General features: G+C 37.7%; 1 long non-coding RNA gene across 1 annotated transcript in view, besides 1 other annotated feature; it reads left to right on the forward strand.

Moving 5' to 3' along the window:
• Positions 1–26,444, forward strand: part of LOC124904100 (uncharacterized) — a 62,816-nt gene that overhangs the window by 20,353 nt on the left and 16,019 nt on the right. The gene's annotated exons all lie outside the window — the stretch shown is intronic.
• Positions 23,601–23,801: a silencer, noted in NCBI's record as "peak2978 fragment used in MPRA reporter construct". NCBI's record gives its function as "represses an SCP1 promoter by STARR-seq MPRAs in K562 erythroleukemia cells {active_cell/tissue: K562}" and the evidence as "EXISTENCE:reporter gene assay evidence [ECO:0000049][PMID:32103011]".

Raw genomic sequence — 26,444 nt, forward strand, 5'->3', positions numbered from 1 at the left:
AAGTTGAAAACTTTGAAAAAAATTTAGAAGAATGTATAACTAGAATAACCAATACAGAGAAGTGCTTAAAGGAGCTGATGGAGCTGAAAACCAAGGCTCGAGAACTACGTGAAGAATGCAGAAGCCTCAGGAGCCGATGCGATCAACTGGAAGAAAGGGTATCAGCAATGGAAGATGAAATGAATGAAATGAAGCGAGAAGGGAAGTTTAGAGAAAAAAGAATAAAAAGAAATGAGCAAAGCCTCCAAGAAATATGGGACTATGTGAAAAGACCAAATCTACGTCTGATTGGTGTACCTGAAAGTGATGTGGAGAATGGAACCAAGTTGGAAAACACTCTGCAGGATATTATCCAGGAGAACTTCCCCAATCTAGCAAGGCAGGCCAACGTTCAGATTCAGGAAATACAGAGAACGCCACAAAGATACTCCTCGAGAAGAGCAACTCCAAGACACATAATTGTCAGATTCACCAAAGTTGAAATGAAGGAAAAAATGTTAAGGGCAGCCAGAGAGAAAGGTCGGGTTACCCTCAAAGGAAAGCCCATCAGACTAACAGCGGATCTCTCGGCAGAAACCCTACAAGCCAGAAGAGAGTGGGGGCCAATATTCAACATTCTTAAAGAAAAGAATTTTCAACCCAGAATTTCATATCCAGCCAAACTAAGCTTCATAAGTGAAGGAGAAATAAAATACTTTATAGACAAGCAAATGTTGAGAGATTTTGTCACCACCAGGCCTGCCCTAAAAGAGCTCCTGAAGGAAGCGCTAAACATGGAAAGGAACAACCGGTACCAGCCGCTGCAAAATCATGCCAAAATGTAAAGACCATCAAGACTAGGAAGAAACTGCATCAACTAATGAGCAAAATCACCAGCTAACATCATAATGACAGGATCAACTTCACACATAACAATATTAACTTTAAATATAAATGGACTAAATTCTGCAATTAAAAGACACAGACTGGCAAGTTGGATAAAGAGTCAAGACCCATCAGTGTGCTGTATTCAGGAAACCCATCTCACGTGCAGAGACACACATAGGCTCAAAATAAAAGGATGGAGGAAGATCTACCAAGCCAATGGAAAACAAAAAAAGGCAGGGGTTGCAATCCTAGTCTCTGATAAAACAGACTTTAAACCAACAAAGATCAAAAGAGACAAAGAAGGCCATTACATAATGGTAAAGGGATCAATTCAACAAGAGGAGCTAACTATCCTAAATATTTATGCACCCAATACAGGAGCACCCAGATTCATAAAGCAAGTCCTCAGTGACCTACAAAGAGACTTAGACTCCCACACATTAATAATGGGAGACTTTAACACCCCACTGTCAACATTAGACAGATCAACGAGACAGAAAGTCAACAAGGATACCCAGGAATTGAACTCAGCTCTGCACCAAGCAGACCTAATAGACATCTACAGAACTCTCCACCCCAAATCAACAGAATATACATTTTTTTCAGCACCACACCACACCTATTCCAAAATTGACCACATAGTTGGAAGTAAAGCTCTCCTCAGCAAATGTAAAAGAACAGAAATTATAACAAACTATCTCTCAGACCACAGTGCAATCAAACTAGAACTCAGGATTAAGAATCTCACTCAAAGCCGCTCAACTACATGGAAACTGAACAACCTGCTCCTGAATGACTACTGGGTACATAACGAAATGAAGGCAGAAATAAAGATGTTCTTTGAAACCAACGAGAACAAAGACACCACATACCAGAATCTCTGGGACGCATTCAAAGCAGTGTGTAGAGGGAAATTTATAGCACTAAATGCCTACAAGAGAAAGCAGGAAAGATCCAAAATTGACACCCTAACATCACAATTAAAAGAACTAGAAAAGCAAGAGCAAACACATTCAAAAGCTAGCAGAAGGCAAGAAATAACTAAAATCAGAGCAGAACTGAAGGAAATAGAGACACAAAAAACCCTTCAAAAAATCAATGAATCCAGGAGCTGGTTTTTTGAAAGGATCAACAAAATTGATAGACCGCTAGCAAGACTAATAAAGAAAAAAAGAGAGAAGAATCAAATAGACACAATAAAAAATGATAAAGGGGATATCACCACCGATCCCACAGAAATACAAACTACCATCAGAGAATACTACAAACACCTCTACGCAAATAAACTAGAAAATCTAGAAGAAATGGATACATTCCTCGACACATACACTCTCCCAAGACTAAACCAGGAAGAAGTTGAATCTCTGAATCGACCAATAACAGGCTCTGAAATTGTGGCAATAATCAATAGTTTACCAACCAAAAAGAGTCCAGGACCAGATGGATTCACAGCCGAATTCTAGCAGAGGTACAAGGAGGAACTGGTACCATTCCTTCTGAAACTATTCCAATCAATAGAAAAAGAGGGAATCCTCCCTAACTCATTTTATGAGGCCAGCATCATTCTGATACCAAAGCCGGGCAGAGACACAACCAAAAAAGAGAATTTTAGACCAATATCCTTGATGAACATTGATGCAAAAATCCTCAATAAAATACTGGCAAACCGAATCCAGCAGCACATCAAAAAGCTTATCCACCATGATCAAGTGGGCTTCATCCCTGGGATGCAAGGCTGGTTCAATATACGCAAATCAATAAATGTAATCCAGCATATAAACAGAGCCAAAGACAAAAACCACATGATTATCTCAATAGATGCAGAAAAAGCCTTTGACAAAATTCAACAACCCTTCATGCTAAAAACTCTCAATAAATTAGGTATTGATGGGACGTATTTCAAAATAATAAGAGCTATCTATGACAAACCCACAGCCAATATCATACTGAATGGGCAAAAACTGGAAGCATTCCCTTTGAAAACCGGCACAAGACAGGGATGCCCTCTCTCACCGCTCCTATTCAACATAGTGTTGGAAGTTCTGGCCAGGGCAATCAGGCAGGAGAAGGAAATAAAGGGTATTCAATTAGGAAAAGAGGAAGTCAAATTGTCCCTGTTTGCAGACGACATGATTGTTTATCTAGAAAACCCCATCGTCTCAGCCCAAAATCTCCTTAAGCTGATAAGCAACTTCAGCAAAGTCTCAGGATACAAAATCAATGTACAAAAATCACAAGCATTCTTATACACCAACAACAGACAAACAGAGAGCCAAATCATGGGTGAACTCCCATTCACAATTGCTTCAAAGAGAATAAAATACCTAGGAATCCAACTTACAAGGGATGTGAAGGACCTCTTCAAGGAGAACTACAAACCACTGCTCAAGGAAATAAAAGAGGAGACAAACAAATGGAAGAACATTCCATGCTCATGGGTAGGAAGAATCAATATCGTGAAAATGGCCATACTGCCCAAGGTAATTTACAGATTCAATGCCATCCCCATCAAGCTACCAATGACTTTCTTCACAGAATTGGAAAAAACTACTTTAAAGTTCATATGGAACCAAAAAAGAGCCCGCATTGCCAAGTCAATCCTAAGCCAAAAGAACAAAGCTGGAGGCATCACACTACCTGACTTCAAACTATACTACAAGGCTACAGTAACCAAAACAGCATGGTACTGGTACCAAAACAGAGATATAGATCAATGGAACAGAACAGAGCCCTCAGAAATAATGCCGCATATCTACAACTATCTGATCTTTGACAAACCTGAGAAAAACAAGCAATGGGGAAAGGATTCCCTATTTAATAAATGGTGCTGGGAAAACTGGCTAGCCATATGTAGAAAGCTGAAACTGGATCCCTTCCTTACACCTTATACAAAAATCAATTCAAGATGGATTAAAGATTTAAACGTTAAACCTAAAACCATAAAAACCCTAGAAGAAAACCTAGGCATTACCATTCAGGACATAGGCGTGGGCAAGGACTTCATGTCCAAAACACCAAAAGCAATGGCAACAAAAGACAAAATTGACAAATGGGATCTAATTAAACTAAAGAGCTTCTGCACAGCAAAAGAAACTACCATCAGAGTGAACAGGCAACCTACAACATGGGAGAAAATTTTTGCAACCTACTCATCTGACAAAGGGCTAATATCCAGAATCTACAATGAACTCAAACAAATTTACAAGAAAAAAACAAACAACCCCATCAAAAAGTGGGCGAAGGACATGAACAGACACTTCTCAAAAGAAGACATTTATGCAGCCAAAAAACACATGAAGAAATGCTCATCATCACTGGCCATCAGAGAAATGCAAATCAAAACCACTATGAGATATCATCTCACACCAGTTAGAATGGCAATCATTAAAAAGTCAGGAAACAACAGGTGCTGGAGAGGATGCGGAGAAATAGGAACACTTTTACACTGTTGGTGGGACTGTAAACTAGTTCAACCATTGTGGAAGTCAGTGTGGCGATTCCTCAGGGATCTAGAACTAGAAATACCATTTGACCCAGCCATCCCATTACTGGGTATATACCCAAATGAGTATAAATCATGCTGCTATAAAGACACATGCACACGTATGTTTATTGCGGCACTATTCACAATAGCAAAGACTTGGAACCAACCCAAATGTCCAACAATGATAGACTGGATTAAGAAAATGTGGCACATATACACCATGGAATACTATGCAGCCATAAAAAATGATGAGTTCATATCCTTTGTAGGGACATGGATGAAATTGGAAACCATCATTCTCAGTAAACTATCGCAAGAACAAAAAACCAAACACCGCATATTCTCACTCATAGGTGGGAATTGAACAATGAGATCACATGGACACAGGAAGGGGAATATCACACTCTGGGGACTGTGGTGGGGTCGGGGGAGGGGGGAGGGATAGCATTGGGAGATATACCTAATGCTAGATGACACATTAGTGGGTGCAGCGCACCAGCATGGCACATGTATACATATGTAACTAACCTGCACAATGTGCACATGTACCCTAAAACTTAGAGTATAATAAAAAAAAAAAAAAAAAAAAAAAAAAGTTTTAAATTAAAAAAAAAAAAAAAAAAAAAAAAAAAGATTTTGTGTACTATGAACTTTTTTTATTTTTTTTTACTTCTCAAAGTTTTTTGTTTAAAACTAAGATACAAATACACACATTAGCCTAAGTCTACACAGTGTCAGAATCATCAATATCACTGTCTTTCACTGTCACATCTTGTGCCACTGGAAGATCTTTTGGAACAATAACGTGCATGGAGCTGTCATCTCCTATAATAACAATGCCTTCTTCTGGAACATCCCCCGAAGGATCTCCCTGAGGCTGTTTTACAGTTAACTTTTTTTTCTAATAAGTAGAGGGAGTATACTCTAAAATAATGATTGAAAGTTTAATATAGTAAATACATAAACCAGTAACATAGTTGTTTATGATCATTATCAAGTATTATGTACTGTAGATAGTTGTATGTGCTGTACTATTTAGGATTGTCAGCACAGTGGGTTTGTTTATACCAGCATCACCAAAAACATGAGTAATGTGTAACTCTGTGATGTTATGATAGCTACAGTCACTAGGCAATAGGAATTATTCAGCTCCATTATAATCTTATGAGACCACCATAGTATATGCAGTTTGTTGTTAGCCAAAACATCATTATGCAGTGCATGACTAAATGTATATCTCACACATACCACACCTACACACCTGCACATATATATAAATATACATATATATCACAGTATATATATGTGTGTGTGTGTGAGATATATATGTACCACAGTATATACATGTGACATATATATAGATATACATTTTATATATATAGTGGTCCTTGAATACATATAGCAGATTCTCAAAGAACTTCATTTTTTCAATGTTTTTTAGTTATAATGTAAATGAGAAACTGGTGTTGTCATATTGTTTCACTTAAAGTAGCAGTTTCCAAGAACCTGTCAACATTAAGTGAGGACTTACTCTATATATCTCCACATATCTATCTATCTGTGTATCCATCTGTATATATATGGAGATAGAGAAACAGGGACAGAGACAGAAAGGAAGAGAGAGAGCTTTATTGTAAGGAGTGTTTTACCAGACTTCAGAGGCTGAGGAGTTCCAGGATCTGTGTAGTTCCAGTTCATACCCAAAGGCCTGAGAACAAGGAGCAGCAATGATGTCAATCCCAGTCTGAGGGTAGAAGACTAAAGACTTAGCTGAAGCAATCAGGCAGAAAAGAAATTCTCTCTTTCTCCACCTTCTGTTGTATTCAAGCCCTCACCAGCTTGGATGATGCCCACTCACATTAAAGAGGACTCTGCTTTACTCAGTCTAATGATTTAAATGCTAATCTCTTCTGAAAATGTCCTCAAGACACACCAAGAGATAATGTTTAACCAACTATCTGGGCACCCCATGACCCAGTCAACTTCACATGTAATATTAACCATCACACACCTTTAATAATTAAGTGCTCTAAATCCTGTGTGCCCTTACTGGCAGAACAGGGACACTGCTGGTTTTCACAGCCTGTCCCTCCCTAGTTGGAATATCATGGACAGAGATAGTAGGGGCATGGGAGCAGTCCTGGGCAAGAGCACCACAGGCTCACGCCAGTCTTACCCAAATATAGTAGAACTCAAGCATGAATGCTTCTTACATTAATATACAGCTTTGCTTGATTTCCAGATTTTTAGCAATCTGAAATGATTGACAGTTTTGTTCAGCTTTATGGTTCACATTTGTTTGAGGAAATGATTTGTTAGCTTCCTAATTCCATCATTCTGGTAAGGAAATCTTATTAACTGTGAATTTACCTAGAGTGAATAAAATAACTTCTTTTCAAAATATCACCATGTCATTTCAAGCCTGCAAGAAAAGACAGAGAGAGACCAGAAATTTATCTATCATTTCACAAAAAAGTATACTGAAAAGACCTTATACTTTGGACTCAAGTGAACCTAGGTTTGAATCTTGACATCAACTTTCTGCTATATGAACTCTAGGGGAAAGAAAACCCGCAAGCTCTCTGAGCTTTCTCTGTGAAGTGGATATTATAGTTGGTGTTTTGAGGACTAAATGTCTGACATATAGTATATACTTAATGGTTGCTAGTTTTTTTTTTAAAAATCTACCCTTTCTGTTTTTGCTTCGCATAGATAAGGTATGTTGTATATCAAACTGCCTGATTTCGTTTCTCGTGTTTCAAGATTACATTAACATGTGCATTTAGTTATTGATGTTTGAAAAGTGTATGGCCGGGGTCATTGGTAATTTAAAAGACACAATGGAGAAATAGTTTCTGAAGCAACCAACACCCCTCTGGTTTGATGCCCAAGAATGCAGTCCTTCTTTTGTGTTTTTACAAGCCTTCTGTTGATTTATGTTTGCAAATGTACTTTTGGTCATTTTCTTAGGCAGTAATCCCAATGTCTTTCTTTAGATAATTATTGTATATGTATTTTTTTGCAATATTTTCTAAGTGTTAAAAGGAAGAAGGAATGAAGAGGATAAATGCATGTTAGTTTTTGTGGGATGAATTCCAGATCAACTTCTTCTAGCAGGCTAATTTTTTTTTCATTTTTCTTTTGGTCAATTGTAAGCATTGACATCATTATAGTATTCTCTCTATTTCTTCTTTGAATTACTCACTCAACCACACCTAGCTACTAGATTAGTATTTCAGTTCTAAACACTGATTATAACTAGAAAGTAAGGCAAACAAAATAATGTTAAACAAATTATAATGTAGCTACAGATTTATGATACTCATTTTTCTGGATCCTACCAGTACTTATTTTGTTTTCTTTATATACCCAAATACATTGTAAATTTGATAACAAAAATCACCTTTCCTCCATGTCTGTTAAATCTCAGTAGTAAAAGATATATGATATATTTTCTCCTTGAAGTATTGCCTTTCTTGTAGTGGAAAGTGTAGTGCCAGACATCAAACATCAACCAGTTTTATAGAAACAACACTGGAAATAGAATAGACATAAGATATAAATTTTGCTTTGTCATTCAGCAGCTGTATGATCTTGTTTAAGTAAATCGAATTCTTTGAATTATGGTTCCCCCATCTTCAATGATGTGGTGGCTTAAATTCTAAGCTTTTTATTGGTGCTAAAAGTCTATAATCCTGTAACCACTGGATATTAGTCTAAAATTTGCTGATGCCTTCTCTAAATAGTTTCTAAATTAAATGCTTTTATTTTTGTTTGTGTATTCGCACTGAAGATTGGCTAATATGTTTGTTTCACTGGGTGTTGAATGTTGTTTTTGGAGATGCGATTTAAGATTCCAGGAAGCTAAACTTGTTTCTATTGAGATTGGGACCTCACTTTTCTTATACTCTCATTTTATAGTGATCATTATAAACCTCTCCATTGATTCATTTTCTATGTATGTATGTATATATGGATATATGTATGTATGTATCTTATGTGTCTAGTTTTGTGGTTCTGATCTTAAAACCCTAGAGTATCTTGAGATCTATTATTTTACTTAGAAACTATTCTCCTGTCCCTGTACTAAATTGTACCCCACCCACCCAAATACACTGAAAGTGTTTTACATGCTTTCGATTTATATTCAATGAGTAGAATAGCCATAGGGAAAATAAGCTACTGGCCAGACTCTATACTGAATTATTCTATTAGTTTTGCTCAATCATGACTCCAGATTTAGGAGTTAAGCTAAAAAATACAGTTCTTGTCATATTAGCCCTCAGTATTCAGTGTGAACAGTGAGAAAGAAAAAGAGCACATTGGAGCCCCCACCCAAAGAATGAGCTCGTTTGCATACTCTAATCTCACATAGTCTTAATTTCATTAACACTTTCATTTTGGCAGCTTCACACACAACAGTGAAAGACATAAAATCCACAATTTTAGCACAGCTGTTTCCTCCTTCCTTCACAAAGTTATTTAAACACCTCGTGACACAAGGGGAAAGGGTGGATGGATGACATTTCAATGAATTATCTCCTGTCTGCTGTGTCATTTCAGAAATACTTACTAATTGGCAGAATAATCCTTCAAAATTACCTTTCAAGATCTGGATATTTTAACAAACTATACTTATTGTCCATTCCTATGTTTACATTCTTAAATCCCCAATATCCGTAGAAGCAGAATTGCTAAGAAATGTAGACTCATGCACCATGTTAAAAGGCAAAGAGGATTTACCAAATACTGTAAAATCCCTAGGAAAATTTTTTTTTAGTAGGGAGCTTCAGGATCATGTCCTTAGGATTTAGAATTTTAAATTGTGCTGTCAAGGAATTTGTCTTTTCATCTTTTTTTAAATAAGTAGTAAGATATCCAAATATATGTTTGAAATACCATTTTGAGGATAGAAACTCCACATTTGCATTAAAGTCTAAAGGAAATTGAATTGTACTTTGGTGATAAGAACACCTAACAGGTCACCTGCTGATAATGCCGTGATAAATATTATTTCAATGATAAATATTTCAAAACAGCCACATTCTTCCTCTTCAACCATAACACACACACACACACACACACACACACACACACACACACACACACACACAGACACGAGTGGGAAAGGGAGGGAAAAAGAGCTAAATCTTTCTGATATAATAAGTAAATTTGTACAATATTAAGATATCAACTTTTTGGACAAAAGAAAGCAGGAGCAACAATTTATCTTAGGTTAGGTATGATTTTACATATTTCTTTCACTAATAAACAGGCATCTTGAAGTTGGAGCTGTAATAGTAAGAATATTAGACTAAAATTAACTCTGCTACCAACTGTGGGGTCTTGACCAATTATATAAATGCCTGAGTCTTATTTTTTTTTCAACTTGAAAAAAAAGAGACACTATTGGTGATGTTTGCTTAGCTACAAATAGCTTTTTTTTTTTTTTTTTCTGTTCCTGTTACCCATTGGAGTATGTCTCCCCATCCAAAGTAGAACATAGTTGATTGGATGAAAGTAGCACTTGACAAAAGTGGAGCTGGTAGAGACCTACTCCCTGTGAAGCTTGAAATGAGGGCTCTGAGGTTATCTCCAGCCTGGGCTGCTATCAGAAGAGAGGCGAGGAAGGGTTCCTGAGGTTGCCGTGTCCCAATTCTGAGATGGTATGGCGTCTCATCTCAATTTAATAGCAGCAAAAAATGCCTATCTGTAAAAAAGTGAAAATGAGAAACAAGTCCAGAAAAATAACAAATGTCTCCCTCACCTCCTTAATGTTTCTATTGCTTAGTTCCATTTTGCAACATTCTAGTTCTGGACTCCCAAAGATACTCTTATTTTTTATTTTAACCTTAAACTAGTTACACTTGATTCAGGTTACACTATATTTAGGTTATTTGATAATAACCTAAATATACTTCGCTAACACAGGTCATTGTAGAAAATAATTAATCGCTTTGACTTAAGTCAGTTTTTATAAATGAAAATAAAAATGTTATACATAGTGGCAATTTTGAGTAACAAGTTCTAAACAATTAATAGTTTTATCAATAACTTGCACATAGTAAGGGTTATTGAATAATTCTTAAATCATGTTAATCCATCTTAAATCATATTAATCCATCAGAGTTATAATTTAAAATACTATATTTGGGTAGAATATCTTGAAAAGTTACAATTAATTGGTAAGTCAAACCACAAATTTTTTGGGGAATGCTACTTTAATATTAATCTGATCTATGTCTAATTGCTGTGACGAGTACTGAATCCTTTTCTTCCCAACCTACATTCCCTGAAATTTCTGCTTTTAAAATCTGTAGAAAGGCGACATATGATCTTTCCAATTGGAGCCACCATACTGTTGGTTAGGCTTTTATTTCTTGTATAGATTTAGTCTAGTTAGGTTTTTATTTCTTGTGTCTTTTATTTTATAAGATCTATTTTCTAGGTGTTACATTTTCCAAAAGAGTAATTTTCTTGTTTTTGTTTTGTTTTTTTTTTAACACTCCTGGCCTGTCTGGTATTGTTCTCTCTTGACTAGTTACCTGTATATTTTTTTAAAAAGTTATTTTAAATTCAAGTTTGTGGGCTGTTTTCCATTGTTTGTAGATGACACGGTGTAGTGGAAACGAACATAGGTCTCTATTATTTCTTTTTTCTGCTTCAGAAATGACGTTATTTTGAATTCAGTTCCCTAGTTAGCCATGATAACATCTAATTCAAAGATGATGGATCTTCGCAGATAACAAAGTCAGTGTGTTAATTTGAGACAAATTTCTGTTTCAGAGGACTGGGGTAAAATGTATTTACATAGGTTGAGTTCTATTGTCATCTCAGCAGTAATTCATGTGGCATCATAAAATCTGGATTCATATAAACATTAGTCGCTAAACCATAGACTTTCTTTTTCATTTTATGTAAGTACAAAAGTCTTGCAGAATGTGTTCTACCAGGAGGCACCTTTCTATACTGCCAGGTCACCACTTGTTGGAAGAGAGAACATTGAGATAATTCTTTTTACTCTAAGGCATAAGAAAACAATTTTTTTTTCTTTCCTCCTCTTTCTTGAATATTGGCTACAAGTATGTACATTTAGCCAAGAAGGAATTGAAAATATCTTTCTATTACATTTTTTCCACATCTGCAAGTCCTATGCTTAGAAGATTTAATTTTAACAAGTTTTCCTCTTATCGTGAACAGGTTATAAAAGAAGCCAAAAATTAAAGTCTAGTTAATATCTTCTCAAGTAGAACACAGGCTTTTTTTTTTTTTAGTTTCTGTGAATGTATTTGCTTTATAGTTTAACTTTTATTTCAAGTTTAGGGGTACAAGTGCAGGTTTGTTACATAGGTAAACTTGTGTCATGGGGGTTTGCTGTACAGATTATTTCATCACCCAGGTTTTAAGCCTAGTACCCATTAGTTATTTTTTCCTAATCCTCTCCCTCCTCCCCTCATCTGCCCTCTGAATGGCCCTGGTATGATTTTAAAATTTCATTATTTCCTTCTTACCTGCCACTTTCCAAGACTTTCGTAACATCTTTTCTTGATACTTTGAAATCCCTATGATTCTTTAAGGTCCAATTACCTCCATGAAACTTTTCTTAAAATTTCAAACCAACAGCTGTGTCTTCCCAGACCTGAATTATCATGGCAGTGTTAATGGTTCTCATTCATAGGTACTAGGTTAGATAAAAATTTATTAAAGGGTGACCCCATTATGGCTGCTGTTTTTGACACATTATAATTTCCAGTTCACTTCTGGTTTATCTAATTTGGTAAAATTTAAAAAATTATTTCTAAGATCTAGATGACTGACTAGAGGCACCCTGCGTGCATCTCCTTCTCCGCAAAGACCAAAAGAAGAAACAGAAAACCACAGGTTGAATTGAGTGTCTAGGGGAGAACACTGAAATTCAGCAAGGAAGTGACAAGACTCCCTGAGGCACAAAAATTCAAAATGGCAGCATAGTTGAGGGATTCCCCATCACAGGGAAAAGATAAGCAGGAGATTCACAGAAACCCAGTTCCTGCCACAGAGACAAGCAATCCTAGTTATGGGTGAGACCCTCAATGCTCATGGCCCTGGGACCAGTGCAGGGAGCTGCTTGAAGTTCATGCAACTGCATTTCTTCAGAGAAGAAATTCATGATAGGCCTTCCTACACCCAGGATCCAGGCTGCTGTAGCACGTCTGAATTTTGGGAACAGAAGCACCACCAGAGTGCATCCTACCCTGGGCCCAATATCTCCTTCATCTCCATATTTTTGGGGCCCTACCAGCATTCCTTCACATCTACACGGAAGGCTGCGGCCTTGTGAAACCAGCTGGACGTAGAGGTACATCTACAACAACACTTGAGTCTCCACGGCACTCTACACCTAGGGAAATAGGTGGTCCAGCACAGCAGGGAGGCTGCCCCAAGTATAGAGGGAGCCAACACCTGGCTCCCCAGAGCCTGAGAGCTGCCTGCCCAGAGCTCACCATTGCCAGCCACCAAGGCCCCACCCTCCAGTGGCAGACCTACTACACAACTGTGTGTGTGGTTGAAGGTCCAAGGACTGGCTTATCTGGGCCCACCACTGCCACCACCAGTATTCACATATGTCACCCAGTGACCTAAAGATCAACTTACCTGGAGTTCTCCACCACCGTTGCCTGCAAACCTGCCACCTCCAGTGGCAGGAACATTGCATGCCCACACACACTACCCAGAGGCTCAAGGACCAGCTTCTCAGGGCCTGTTGCCACACCGCCAGTGCACATGCACACCACCCAGGGGCACAAGAAGTTGGATGCCTGGGCATTCCATTGCACCACCAGCATGTGCATGAACCAAACAGTGGCTTCAGGGCCTGCTGCCGACACTGCCAGTGAACCTGCCCCTCCAGCAGTTGGACTGCCCTGCATCCTCATGTGACACCCGGGAGCCTGAGGACCAACCTACCCTGGGCCTGCACTGCCACCACCAGCACATACACATGCCACTCAGGAGCCTGAGGATCAGCCTACTTGGCATTCCCATCCCCAGCAAAGCTGGGCCACAACCCTCACCAAAAAACCAGAGCTTAGGCCACTGTGAGGCATTAACAAACATTATTGACATTGACTATAGCTGAAAAAATTCTATGGATACCACATTACTTTGTCTACCCAGAACCAAAGCAAAAACATCCTACCTAACAGACACCATGAAACACATATACAGGAAAAAATCTTTCCCTAAAAAACCTACCTCATGAAACTGGAAGAAATGACTATTACATCAGATGCATAGGTGTCAATGTAGGGTTATAAGAAACTTGAACAAGCAAAAGAACATGACAATTCCAAAGCAACCTAATAATTTCTCAATGATAGTCCCTAAAGAAAATAAAATTATAAGATGTATAAAAAAGAATGTAAAATAATGATCTTAAAAAACTTAGCAAGATTCAAGAGAACACAGATAGACAATTCAGTGACAATAGAAAAACAATTTATAATTTGAGAAATTCAACAAAGATATATATATATAGATAGATATATTCACACACACACTATATATGTGTATATATATGTGTGTATATGTGTATATATATGTATATATGTGTATATATATGTGTGTGTGTGTGTGTATGTGTATATATATGTGTATGAGAGAGAAAGAGAGTATAACCAATCAGAATTCTTGGAACTGAAGAATTCAAAGAATGGAATAAAAAATAAAATTGAGAATTTCAACAGCAGCCTAGATCAAGCAGAAGAAATAATTTTTGATCTTGAAGATGGGCCCTTAGAAATAGCACAGTCAGACAAAAAAAGCAGAAAATAATTAAAAAAAAAAAAGAGCCTACATGACATATGGGACACTATTAAGCAAACAAATATTTGCATTTTGGGTGATCCAGAAAAAGAAGAGATGAAAAAATGTGTAGAAAACTGTATTAGTTCATATTCACGTGGCTATAAAGAAATACCTGAAACTGGGTAATTTGCAAAGACAAGAAGTTTAATTGGCTCATGGTTCCAGATGCTGTATGGGAAACATAGTAGCATCTGCTCAGTTTCTGGAGAGGCCTCAGAAAACTTACAATCATGGTGGAAGGTGAAGGGGGAGCAGACACATTACAGGCCAGATCAGGAGACAGAGAGAGAGCAAGGGAGGAGTTGGTCCGCACTTTTAAATAATCAGATCTCATGAGGACTTACTCACTATTATGACAACAGCATTAAGGGGATAGTGCTAAACCATTCATGAGAAATTCACCCTCATGATCCAGTAACGTCCCATGAGGCCCAGCCTCCAACACTGGGGATGTTAAAGTAAACTATGGCCTGAGAAGGACTCTCTACTTCTATAGTTGAGTCCTTGTGGACGAACGGCAATCTCACTTAATAGGTAGACAAAATTGAAAACTTAACTGAGGAGTATGCACCTGTAACAATAGCCGAGTCTTGGCCATTCCGAGTGGCCGTACTTCAACCATTCATACACTTTTAAGTGCTCAAACTGTGTTCAAATCAGGTAAATGCCACCCTGTAACCGGTCCAGCCATTCTGTACCTCATTTCCAATTTTTGTATGTCCTTTCCCTTTTTGTGTCTGTAAATCTTTTTCCAGCACGTGGCTGCACTGGAGTCTGTGAATCTGCTGTGATTCTGGGGCTGCCTAATTTGTGAATCATTCATTGTTCAATTAAACTCCTTTAAATTTAATTCAGCTAAAGTTTTTCTTTTATCAGGGATTACTATTTGCCATGAGATTTGGGTGGGGACACATATCCAAACTATATCAAAAACCTATTTAATAAAATAATAGTTGAAATTTTTCTAAGTCTTAGAGAGATATAAACATTCAGGAACAGGAAACTCAAGATTCCCAAACAGATTCAACCCAAAAAGGTACAGTCTGAGTCACATTATAGTCAAACTGTCAAAATTCAAAGACAAAAAGGAAATTCTAAAAACAGCCAGAGTAAAGTGTCATGTCACATGTTAGGGAATCCCCTTTGATATAAATCCATTCTATTTAAGGCTATCTATGCTTTTAAGAGTAAAAGAAATAGTCTTAGTTTTTCATGAAGGAGTGAATAATTAATACATTTATTAATGCATACCATTAATTCTTTAGTCTGTGAATTTGGTATTTAAATTAGTATATACAAGCAAAAGAGTTGAGAAGGGAAAACAGACTATCAAATTGTAATTGTGTGTGTGTGTGACTGGAGGTGGAAGTTTGAAATGCTCTTTAAATTATTTTTATTAATAGAATATTATCAGGAATTAGAAGAAAAATAAAGTTGGAACATTGAACTCTTTCCCATGTAGCAACTTTAAGATCATTATGAAGACTTAAATGGAAAATAACTTACTAAAAAGGCTACTCTACGAAAAAAATGATGTGGACACTTCTACTCTCGGTATATTGAGATGGCAACTATGACAACAGCATAGGAGCATAGTATTTTTTTGTTTTTATTTTTATGTTTTTTTGAGATGGAGTCTTGCTCTGTCACCCAGGCTGGAGTGCAGTGGCGCGACCTTGGCTCACTGCAAGCTCCACCTCCCAGGTTCATGCCATTCTCCTGCCTCAGCTTCCCGAGTAGCTGGGACTACAGGCACCTGCCACCACACCCGGCTAATTTTTTGTATTTTTAGTAGAGACGGGGTTTCACCGTGTTAGCCAGGATGGTCTCGATCTCCTGACCTCGTGATCCGCCCACCTTGGCCTCCCAAAGTGCTGGGATTACAGGCGTGAGCCACCGCGCCCGGCCAAGATGAGTAAGTTCTTATTTGGAAATTGCTGAGGGTAAACATGATCATCTTGAGTAAAAGGGTAAAATACATTTCTCAGCACCCTATTTACTTGGTAAGGAATAAGTCAATTTCCAATGGGGGATTTCAGAAGACCTTAGTTATCAATCACAAGAGTGTAAATTGTCCTGAAGTATTTCCTCTCATGGTAAAATAATTTGAATTCTGAGTCAAGGGAAAAATAGAGATGTATTAAAGGAATTTAAAATATGGACATTAATCTTAATTTCATATGTGTATTTCAGGAGTGATGATCTAATTGCTTCTTTATTATAGTGAAAGGTTATCTCTAGTTTGTACTGATATGAAGTCACAAGCACTGTTCTGAACAATTTGCTAAATATAAGCTGCTGATACTGACTTTTGTGATCTAATAGAGGGCTTCCTCCATCGCAAAATTTCAGTGGCTTGCTCTTGTTTGTTTGTTTCTCCAAGTGCTTTGCGCTGCAATGACTGAACGTGTTACCTTTGTACATAGTGGGCCAAGTCAGGGGAAATCTGCTGTCTTATGATTGTCTTATTGTATATTATTGCTGCACAAAAAAAAATTATTATTCTGCCTTCTGGAAGCTTTTCCTAATGAATTTTAAGAGAGGCAGTAAATCTTTCCATCACACTTCTTATTAAAAAGCAAATAGATAAGTTAAATAATTCCAGCTTTATCTGTCATTCCCACAGTACATATTGCCACTGTATTTATGAGCATACCATTAGTATCTTTGTATGCAAAGAATGTTAATGTATGAGAACATGAATGTAATACTTTTATAAGCTGCATGTTGATTCTATACATTTCCTGGCTTATTGCTATCCTAATATAATTTTAAAAAAAGGAAAAGTACACTCCCAACACTGTATAAAGTAGTTCTCCAAAGGGGTGATTTTGCTATCAAAGGGCAACTGGCAGTATCCAGAGACATTTTTGATTAGCGTGGCTGGTGGGGGCTTGTTAGTTATGGACATCTAGTGAGTAGAGACCAGGCATGTAGTAAACTTCCTGCCTTCCTCAACCCCTCAACTCCCAACAAAGAATTATCTCATCAAAAATTTAAACGGATCCATGGTTTAGAAATCATACTCCCAAAGCAAACAAACGTTTCTTTTCGTTGCCTTAAAGTGTTGCATTCTGTTTTAGGGTGTGTGTGTGTATGTGACATTTGTCGCTGAGAAATGTATCTACTAAAGGTGAAATACTTTAGACTTGGACAAACCAGAGGCAAAACATGTCTTCCCACCATTGTCTAATGTAATAATTGAAATTACTAATTTTCAAAATTCAACTTATTGAGAAGAAATAAAGATTATATGTTATCTGTAGACTATTAAAATAATGCATTGTTTCATCATTAAGTATTAAAGGAGACTACAAATAAGAACAAGGCAAATCCTTATATTCTTGTCTATTATTCACAAAATGGTATTTTTCTCTAATGGCTAATATCTGATGCTGGAAAGAACAGTAAGAAATTTTATATTTCTCTTTACTTTTAGAATTTAATTCTCATAGTGACCTCTTGGCTTAACTGAAATTCTTTCTTGATTAGGGGTCCATCTGGGACTATTTATAAAATAAACTGCATTTCACAAGTCCTTTGTAAAACTAATATATAATGACAGAAAGCAGCCCAGTAGTGCGTTGGGCTAGTCGTGGGTGGAAAGTCACTGCAGAGAGGCATAAGGGAGCTATTTGGAATGATGGAGATATTCTATATCTTGGTAAGGGAGGTGATTGCACAATTGTACATATATGTCAAAACTCATTGAACTGATAGTTAAAATGGGTGCAATTTGGTGTATGTAAATTGTATAATAATAAAGAAATGTTTTGAATCTATTGAGGCCTAGTAAGAAAAATATGTGATGTCTTCAACTTATTTGATTTATCTTACAGAAGCAGATAAATGAAGGTCAGAACTTCTATACATTAAATCAAATATTCTGATCTGAATAAAATGGCCTTAGGATATAAAGACTTTTTAAGTCATTACATATACATTACTCTATAACATTGCTTGACCAATGCTTATTGCATTGTTTGACCATTATTTATGATTATAAATAAATGTTTTCTGACTAAAGCTTTTTGCAAAATTTATCTGCACACAAGATTTCAGGTACCTTAAAAATTTTGTTTGTAAATGTAAACTTAAATATTAATTTACACAGTGTGGTTTTAAAAATTGTGATGATGTAAATACATAGAAGCATATATACAAAGAATGTGTGCATACACATGCACACACATTTGAAAATAAATGCACAGAAATGATGACACGGCTTCTAATTCTTAGTGTAGGAATTTCAGGTTATATTTTGCTGTCATATTTTTATTTTCCTCTGTTTTCTAAATTTGCCATACTAAATGATCATTTATAATCAGTCAAAATACATATTTTAATATTCTTTCTATGAGTAGAGTTTTATGCACTAAATAATATTAATTTTAACTATCCTTATACATTATTTGTGATTCTAATATAAAAAAGGATTACATAAAAGAACAGAAGGATGTATTTATTCAGAAATAACACATTGTATTAATCCATTGAAAACACCCCAGAGAAGAAGACTGAAACTTTGTGTGTTCTTTTAGTTTTCATAGTAAATGGAAATTTTTTGTAGTCATTGCCAGGAATAAGGCTTTGTAACTTTGAGTTTGGCACAGATTAAATGATACATATCACTATTCAAATGGTGCTGGAAAGTTTGAAGATTGTTTTAGATGGCTTTTACAAGAGTGAATAAAGTATCATCTTATCACAGTAAACAATTGTATGTTCATTCTCTTGAATGAGTACGCAGGAAACCATCAAGGGACACTTCTGGCCTGGCAGCTCAACTCTCCAAATTTGGCATAGTAATGGCTATTCCTCGTAATTGGGCCAGAGTGCAGGGAATGGGGGAATGGTTCACAGTAAGGGACATGCACTTGGCACCGTTTGGGCCATTTCTCAACATTTCAGTAAGTAGAATGCCTCATTTCTCTGTGTCGACAGTCCTGAGTAACATAGTAGTACCCAGGAGATCGTTTAAAATCTAATTTTTTTTTAAATAGGTAGTTTTTCCAGGCAAGTGTAGCATTTTGCATTTTAAGTCCTGTCATCACCCAGAGGAAAAAAATATATGATGTATTTCCTTTCATGCATTTAATTTCAAGTTCTTGAGGTCATTCTTTTTTCCAAATAATCACTGGGTGCAGTCACTTTTTTTCCTAAGTTTCAACAGCTCACTTAAAAGACATACCAGATTAAAGAAATGCTAGGATTTGCATTTTTTTCTAAAACTAAGATTAGTATTCACTGTATGAAGTTGATAGTCAACAGAAAAAAAAATCATCCGAGGGTTTCTAAATTGCTGAATAAGAACATAGAAATTTTTAAAGTACATTTTGAAGTTTTGAGATGTAGCTTACAGCAAATAGAAAACAGAACGTTCTCAATTTAACAGAGATGCCGACCTGGGGTCATAATTTCTTGTTTCAATTTGAGCTTCTGCCACAGGTCAGCTGAATCAGTCTGAGACTATTTACTCACAAGGGTACCATGAGAATAATCTATGGTCCCTATAAGTCTTTATGTTAATTACAAAAGCAGAATAGTGGGTTTTTTTTAGACCCATCTCTTTAGGAGCCTTGAACTATTTGTGATAAGACTATAAATATTGGAACCAGAGGACTTAATCAGAGTAGCACCAACTTGGCCAAATCATGTTCTTGAATTTCTTCCTTTGTTCTCATATGAAACATGCAGATAATTGTTGTTAGATGCATAGTCAGCAAATAATTGAAAGATAAACTTTCCTCAAATACACACACACACACACACACACACACTCACACACACATGCATACTCCCATATGTTGCATATATTACCATAACTCTTAAGACAATGAATGAGAATGGATCTCAATATATTTAAAAATCCTTAATACTGGGACCTAGAAAAAATGCCATGTTAAATCTGTAAGCATTCTCTCTAGCCCAAGAAATGGAAACTTGAATTTATTTTGGGACACCTGGCTTGCTTGTGTACCATGAAACTTTCACCTCAATAGGATTTTAGTTACGTAAGTTCAAACCCAGTACATGCCAGTTGATTTGGAGTGAGGAAGGTGCTGTGGTCTGAATAATTATGTCCCCACAAAAATACATATGTTGCAATTCTAATCCTCAAGGTGATGGTATCAGCAGTGTGACCTTTGAGAAGCGATTTGATCATGAAGGTGTCTCCTAATGAATGGGATTGGTGCCCTCCTAAAAGTGGAACAAAGGAGCTTGTTTATCCCTTTCTACCACCTGAAGTTACCGATGACCTTCACCAGACACTAAGTCTTTCACCACCTTGATATTAGACTTCCCAGACTCCAGAATTGTGAGAAATATATTTCTGTTGTTTGTAAGTCTATGGCATATTGTTGCAGCCCAAACTGACCAAAACAGAGGGTACTCAGGACATATTATACAGAGTTTCTAGCACTTTAAGTTGGTTATGTTTATCAGAACTAAGTCTGCACAAACATTTTTCCTCTTACTTGATTTGCGTTTCCTTTACTGATATTATATTGCCTTTTTTAAAGGGAAGATCATGATTATGAGCATATTATACATTTGGTCATTTGTGATTTTGAGCAGAGCTGCTGATACACAATAAAAAGGAATGCAGTCCTATTGATCCTCTCGTACTTAGAAAAGGATAGCAGTCCGCTTGTAACAGTTCAACCTTATTGATATATCATGTGTTGTTACAAAGTTTGCATAGTTTAATTTTGTGAAATATGACAAACTATTGCCTCATATGTAATAGTGACCTATTGAAGGCCAGAGGGCAGGACTATCTCTTTGGCTTAGAAATGGGCTTCCTCAGAAGGACATAGGTATTGCAGGCTTTAAAGCTCCCCATCACATTCCTCTTGAAGATGATACTGGCTCTGACCGTAACTGCTCCTTGCCCTAAATATTTCCACACCCAGTTGCAGCTATTTATTCATCTTTGTCATTGTTGTTTGTTTAAATTTTACTTCTGTATTTGATAAGGCAAAAATATTTAAAGATGCTTCTTGTGTTGTGGGGTTATGTAGAAATGATCCTGGTCTTGTCCCAGGGGTCATTTGGGTACAGGGAAAACTGGAGCAGCATGAAGAAAGACAAAATACAACATTTGAAAGAGAAACAGCCAGTTAAATAGGACACATGTACCATACATGTTTATGTTGTCTCCCCCACCACTAGCCTCTTTAAAATAATGGCAAAACAACATAAAAAGAAGGAATAACCCCACAAAGACAAAAGGGAATTGAAGTAGACTCAACTACAATTCAGAAATTTCAGCAGACTTTGATTAAATCACAAATGCAGGAGAGGAACTGACTCAGCAGGGAATAAGAATCTACAATATTAGGTGTCTGATGGGAATTTGATAAAGAAGTAGGCCACCAGACCCTAAAAAGCTCATGCAAACTCAGCCTCTTAGAGAAAACAGGTAATTCCTAGGGTGAGTTAAGGTGTAATACTGAATATATAGAAAGTGGTTGCACTTGACAGAAAACCTTTGAAATTCCAAAGCTTGCAGAATCAGGTAATGGTCTTTCGCCCTCCTCCCCAACCCAACCCTGACCAAGAGGCTAGAGTTTCATATTTGAACAAATCTGAGAGGCTCTAAGAATGCAGGGGTGGAACTCAAATCCAAAAATGGAGAATCGTGACATAGTGAACCATAGTCTCTGTGGTAGACAGACCCTGAGAACAATCCTCTCTCCCTAATAACTACTGTCTTCTAGTATTAGCACTCTTGTAGTACAGTTGGGACCTGCAACTGGCTTCTAGCCATTTGACTACAACTAAGGCAACCTAGGTATCATTCTTGGCACCTAGAATGGGTGTCAGGAATAAGTCTGAGTCCTGACACAGGGATTCTGGTCAGAGCACTGAAAACACTAGTTTCTCTTAGGGTCATAAAATTTACCACAATTTTTAGAGTTGAATGAAAACTTGATGTAGAGAATGGTGGCAAGCACAATTTTTGCATACTGATTAAAACAAGTGCTCTATGACAAAAATGATATTTTTAATCTTAGATGAAAAGTGAGTCAGATATGTTTATGATTAAGTGCTGCCTGTTTCATATAATTCATATTTTGTAAGTCAAATTCACCAAGAAACATACTCTTAGATGAAGATTTGTATTCAAAAGATTTACTGGGGACATCTCTTGAGATTGTCACCTGTAAGAAACAAGGATAGCAGGAGTAAGCAGAAGGCAAGTTGGAAAAGAGATGTAGGTACAACAATGGCTTCCACCAACCCCACAGGAGCTCCAAAGCCTGAATGACTCCTTAAAGATGAAGAAAAGGGCTGAGCATGATGGCTTATGCCTATAATCCCAGCACTTTGGGAGGATCAAGTAGGGGGATTGCTTGAGTCCAGGAGTTCAAGACCAACCTGGGCAACATGGCGAAACCCCATCTTTACAAAAAAATCCAAAAATTAGTCAGGCGTGGTGGTGTGAACCTGTATTATCAGCTACTTGAGGGGCTGAGGCAGGAGGATAGCTTGAATCTGGGAAGTGGACACTACAGTGAACTGAGATTGGGCCACTCCACTCCAGCCTGGGTGACAAAGTGAGACTCAGTCTCCAAAAAAAAAAAAAAAAGTGAAGGAAAAGGAACTCTTGCACACTGTGGGAATATAAAAGAGTATAGCCATTATGAAAAAAAGTATGGATTTTTCTTAAAAAATTAAAAATAGAACTACAATATGATTTAGCAATTCTACTATTAGGTATATATCCAAACAAAATGAAATCAGTATGTTGAAGAGCTATCTGGATTACCATGTTTACTGCAGCATAATTTACAACAGCCAAGATGTAGAGTAAACCTGAGTGTCCATCAACAGATGAATGGATAAATGAAATGTGGTATATACACACAATGGAATATTTTGAAGCCATAAAAAGAAGCAAATCTTGTCATTTGGGACAACATGGATATACCTGGAGGACATTACGTTAAATAAAATAAGCTCAGCACAGAAAGACAAATATTGCATGATCTCACTTATGTGTGGAATCTTAAAAAAGCTGATCTTATTGACATAGAGAATAGAATAGTGGTAACCGGGGGCTGGGGTGGTTGGGGGAGGAGGGTTAGAGAGATGTTAATTAAAGGATACAAAATTCCATTTAGATAGGAGGAAGTTTGAGAGATCTATTATACAACATGGTAATGTTTTGGGATTTTGGGGTGTTGCTTTTCTGGTTGGAAGCCTCTGTGGCTGGTGGCACCTTTGCCAGAGCTCTTGTCCTGCATCCGAGAAGAATGAAGTATGCGGACAAGTGAATAGTGAGGAAGATGAGGAGAAGCTTTATTGAATGTTAGAACAGCCCAGAGGAGACCTGTAGTGGGTAGCTCCTTTCTGTGGGCAGGTCTTCCCAAGTATTCAGCTCTCAGCAGAGAGGGCAGCTCCTCTCCACAGCTGGCCATCCTGTTATCTGCAGCTCTCAGCAGAGAGGAGGCCCTGGAGAGGGTAGCTCCTCTCCGGAGCTGGTTGTCCCAATATCTGCTCCTCTCAGCAGGGAGGAGGCCCTGGAGAGCGTAGCTCCTCTTTGCAGCTGGTCGTCCAGATGTCTGCTTTGCTGTGGCTGAGCCTGGGGCTTTTATGGGCCTCAGAGGGGTGGAAGCACATGCCACTTGGTCCATGGGCATGCTCAAAAGGCACCACAAGTTCCCACTCCAGTCTGCAGGACTGGCAGCCTGGCCCCCAGCCCCTTCAGGCCCTCCCTGGGCTCAAGGTCAGGCCTCACTGGGGACCACCCACTTTTGCCCAGGAGCCTGTCTGCCTCCTGCCGCTGTCCGTGGCACCCAGGCTGCTTGCACCAAGGGGCACCTGCAGGCCAGTGCCTAGCTGCCCTCAGGTACTTCCCACGCTTGTTGGTGCCCAAAGTCCAGAGGGAGACGAGGCAGCTGAGGGCTGGTGTCTCAGCACTATCTTGAGTGTGTGCCTACCCAGCTGGGCTGTGACAACACTGGGCTTGGCCCCAACCTTGCTCCATGATCAGAGTGGGCACCTGGAGTGGAGAGAGGCCAGACTGTGGGAGCAGGCACTTATGAACCTGTTGCTGGGGGGCAAGGGGGTCCTTCCTGGGGCCCCAAGAGCACAGAAGTGTCTGGATCCACAGCTGTGCTCGGATAGGCTGCAGCTGCACCCACACTTGGGGAGTTCCTGTCCAGCCAACTTAGAAGGGCAGGGCTCCCTCTTGTCCCTGGCTCCCACAGGGTCTGTGGAGTGTACAGCTCTGACCATGCCTCTGAAATCAAAATGGGCACTGACAGCAGGGAGAAACCAGGCAATGGGAGCAGGCACTTCCAAGCTTGTGGGGGGAAGGGGGGGACTTCCCAGGCCCCCCAAAGCTCAGAGACTCCAAAGTCTGGAGCCCACCAGGGCATCTTCAGTGGAACTTGAGGAGGACGAGGCTTCTGCCTGCTCAGTGGAGAGTGGGGGCCCGGCCATGCCTCCCGTCTGCATCCAGCGTCATGGCCATTCCAGATGGCCCGCCGCTGCCGTCAGTAGCTGTAGTTAATCACAGCATATTATATTCTTAAAAATGCTAAGAGAGTGGATGTTGAGTGTTCTCCCCCCAAAATAATATAATAATTCTGTGAGGTGATTAATGCACATGTCAGTTAGCTAGTTTTAGTCATCTGACTTTGTAAATATATGCTTCAAAATATCATGTTGTACACAATAATTACATAGAATCTTACCTGTCCATTTAAAAAATAAAAATAAATAAATTTAAAAAAAAGAAAAGATAACCTGAAGTCAGGGCAAAGAGAGCAGACCTACTGCATAGATAAATCCCTGGAATGAGCTTTCCCAGGGAGAAAGTATAAACTTGGGTGAGGCAGCTCTCTTCAGCCAAGGGCCATCCTGGGAAAGAACTCAGTTGTTCTGCAGTCATCGCATCCAACACCTAGAATGAAGACCAGGAATATGTTTGGGTCCTGAATCTGGGATTCTGGTCAGGGCACTGCAAACATGATTTCATTAAATAATGATCCTCTTATCTTAGCTCTAGTTCTTTTAACTATTATTTTATTTCTGGCTTTTTGAAGCAGCATAGATTATAATTGACTCTTCCTTATTGACATTCTGTTAGGAAAGAAACATTTTCTCTATATCTAATTATTTCTAAACATATTTTCTTATGGAGTATCATCCCTTATCATAAGATGTTTACACCAATAGATGCAAACAAATAGTAAATAGAGTATCTAAAAGGTTACTTTGTTGGATAAAATATTTTATTATTTGTGTTTTTAGAAAAGGGATCTGCTAAGAATATACTTTTTATTACAATCAAACATGAATGGAAAAAGGGAGAAAAAGCCCTTTGATGTTTCTTGAGTAGGTAAATTCAAATCATGTATATACTAGCTAAGTCACAGAGTCCCATAAGTGGAGTCATAAAAAGTAGGTTACATTTCACAGCAACTACTAAAAATCTCTTAAAACCAAGATGTCTCAAGGGTACATCTTGTAAACTAGCTGTAAAGCTTTCATGGTAACAAGATATGGAACAAATATTAATTGGATAGGAAATGACTCCAACAGGGATTTTATTTTGTATGCCTAGTGTTTTCAAGGTGAATAGTTTGCAAACGTTTCTAGTTTTTAACCATAATAAGCAGGCTACAGCTCGGGGCTTTACCTCTTTAAAGTGCCTATGCCATAATCTGTTTTCTTAAGCATGTGTGTGTGCATTTGTGTATGTGTTTTTTCATTCTGGCTTCAGTTTGATGATCTCTCAGCAAAGCTAAATTAATGGGCTAAAAGCTTACGGTTTTCTGTTACATAACATCACGTGATTCTCAAACTAAAGAGAATATAATAAATATTTACTTTAACATAGTTAAATAATTTTAGGTCCAGATAATAGACTCATTTTCTACTCTTCTTGTTCCTTGCACACTGTCTTCAGTTTTCACCTCACTACTTTATAGATTAACTATTTGAAACAACAACAAAAAAATACGGCTACTGACACTATCAACTTAAAATAGCTATACATGATATTCTTTCAAAGACAACTTGATCATATCATCACCGATGTCTTGGATCATCATAAATAGCCTGAAACCTGAATTCCAACTGAAACAGCATTAGTTCCAAGGTAGATTACTGGACATAGTAATCTATTTTATTTTCCCTAAAGAGAAATTGGAATTTGATTTTTATTTTTAATTGATTGAAAGAAGAGTTTCATATTTTTTCTCAAATACTCTGAATGCATTGATGAAAT

The sequence above is a fragment of the Homo sapiens genome, chromosome 17 (genome assembly GCF_000001405.40).
Source record: "Homo sapiens chromosome 17, GRCh38.p14 Primary Assembly".
Taxonomy (NCBI): domain Eukaryota; kingdom Metazoa; phylum Chordata; class Mammalia; order Primates; family Hominidae; genus Homo; species Homo sapiens.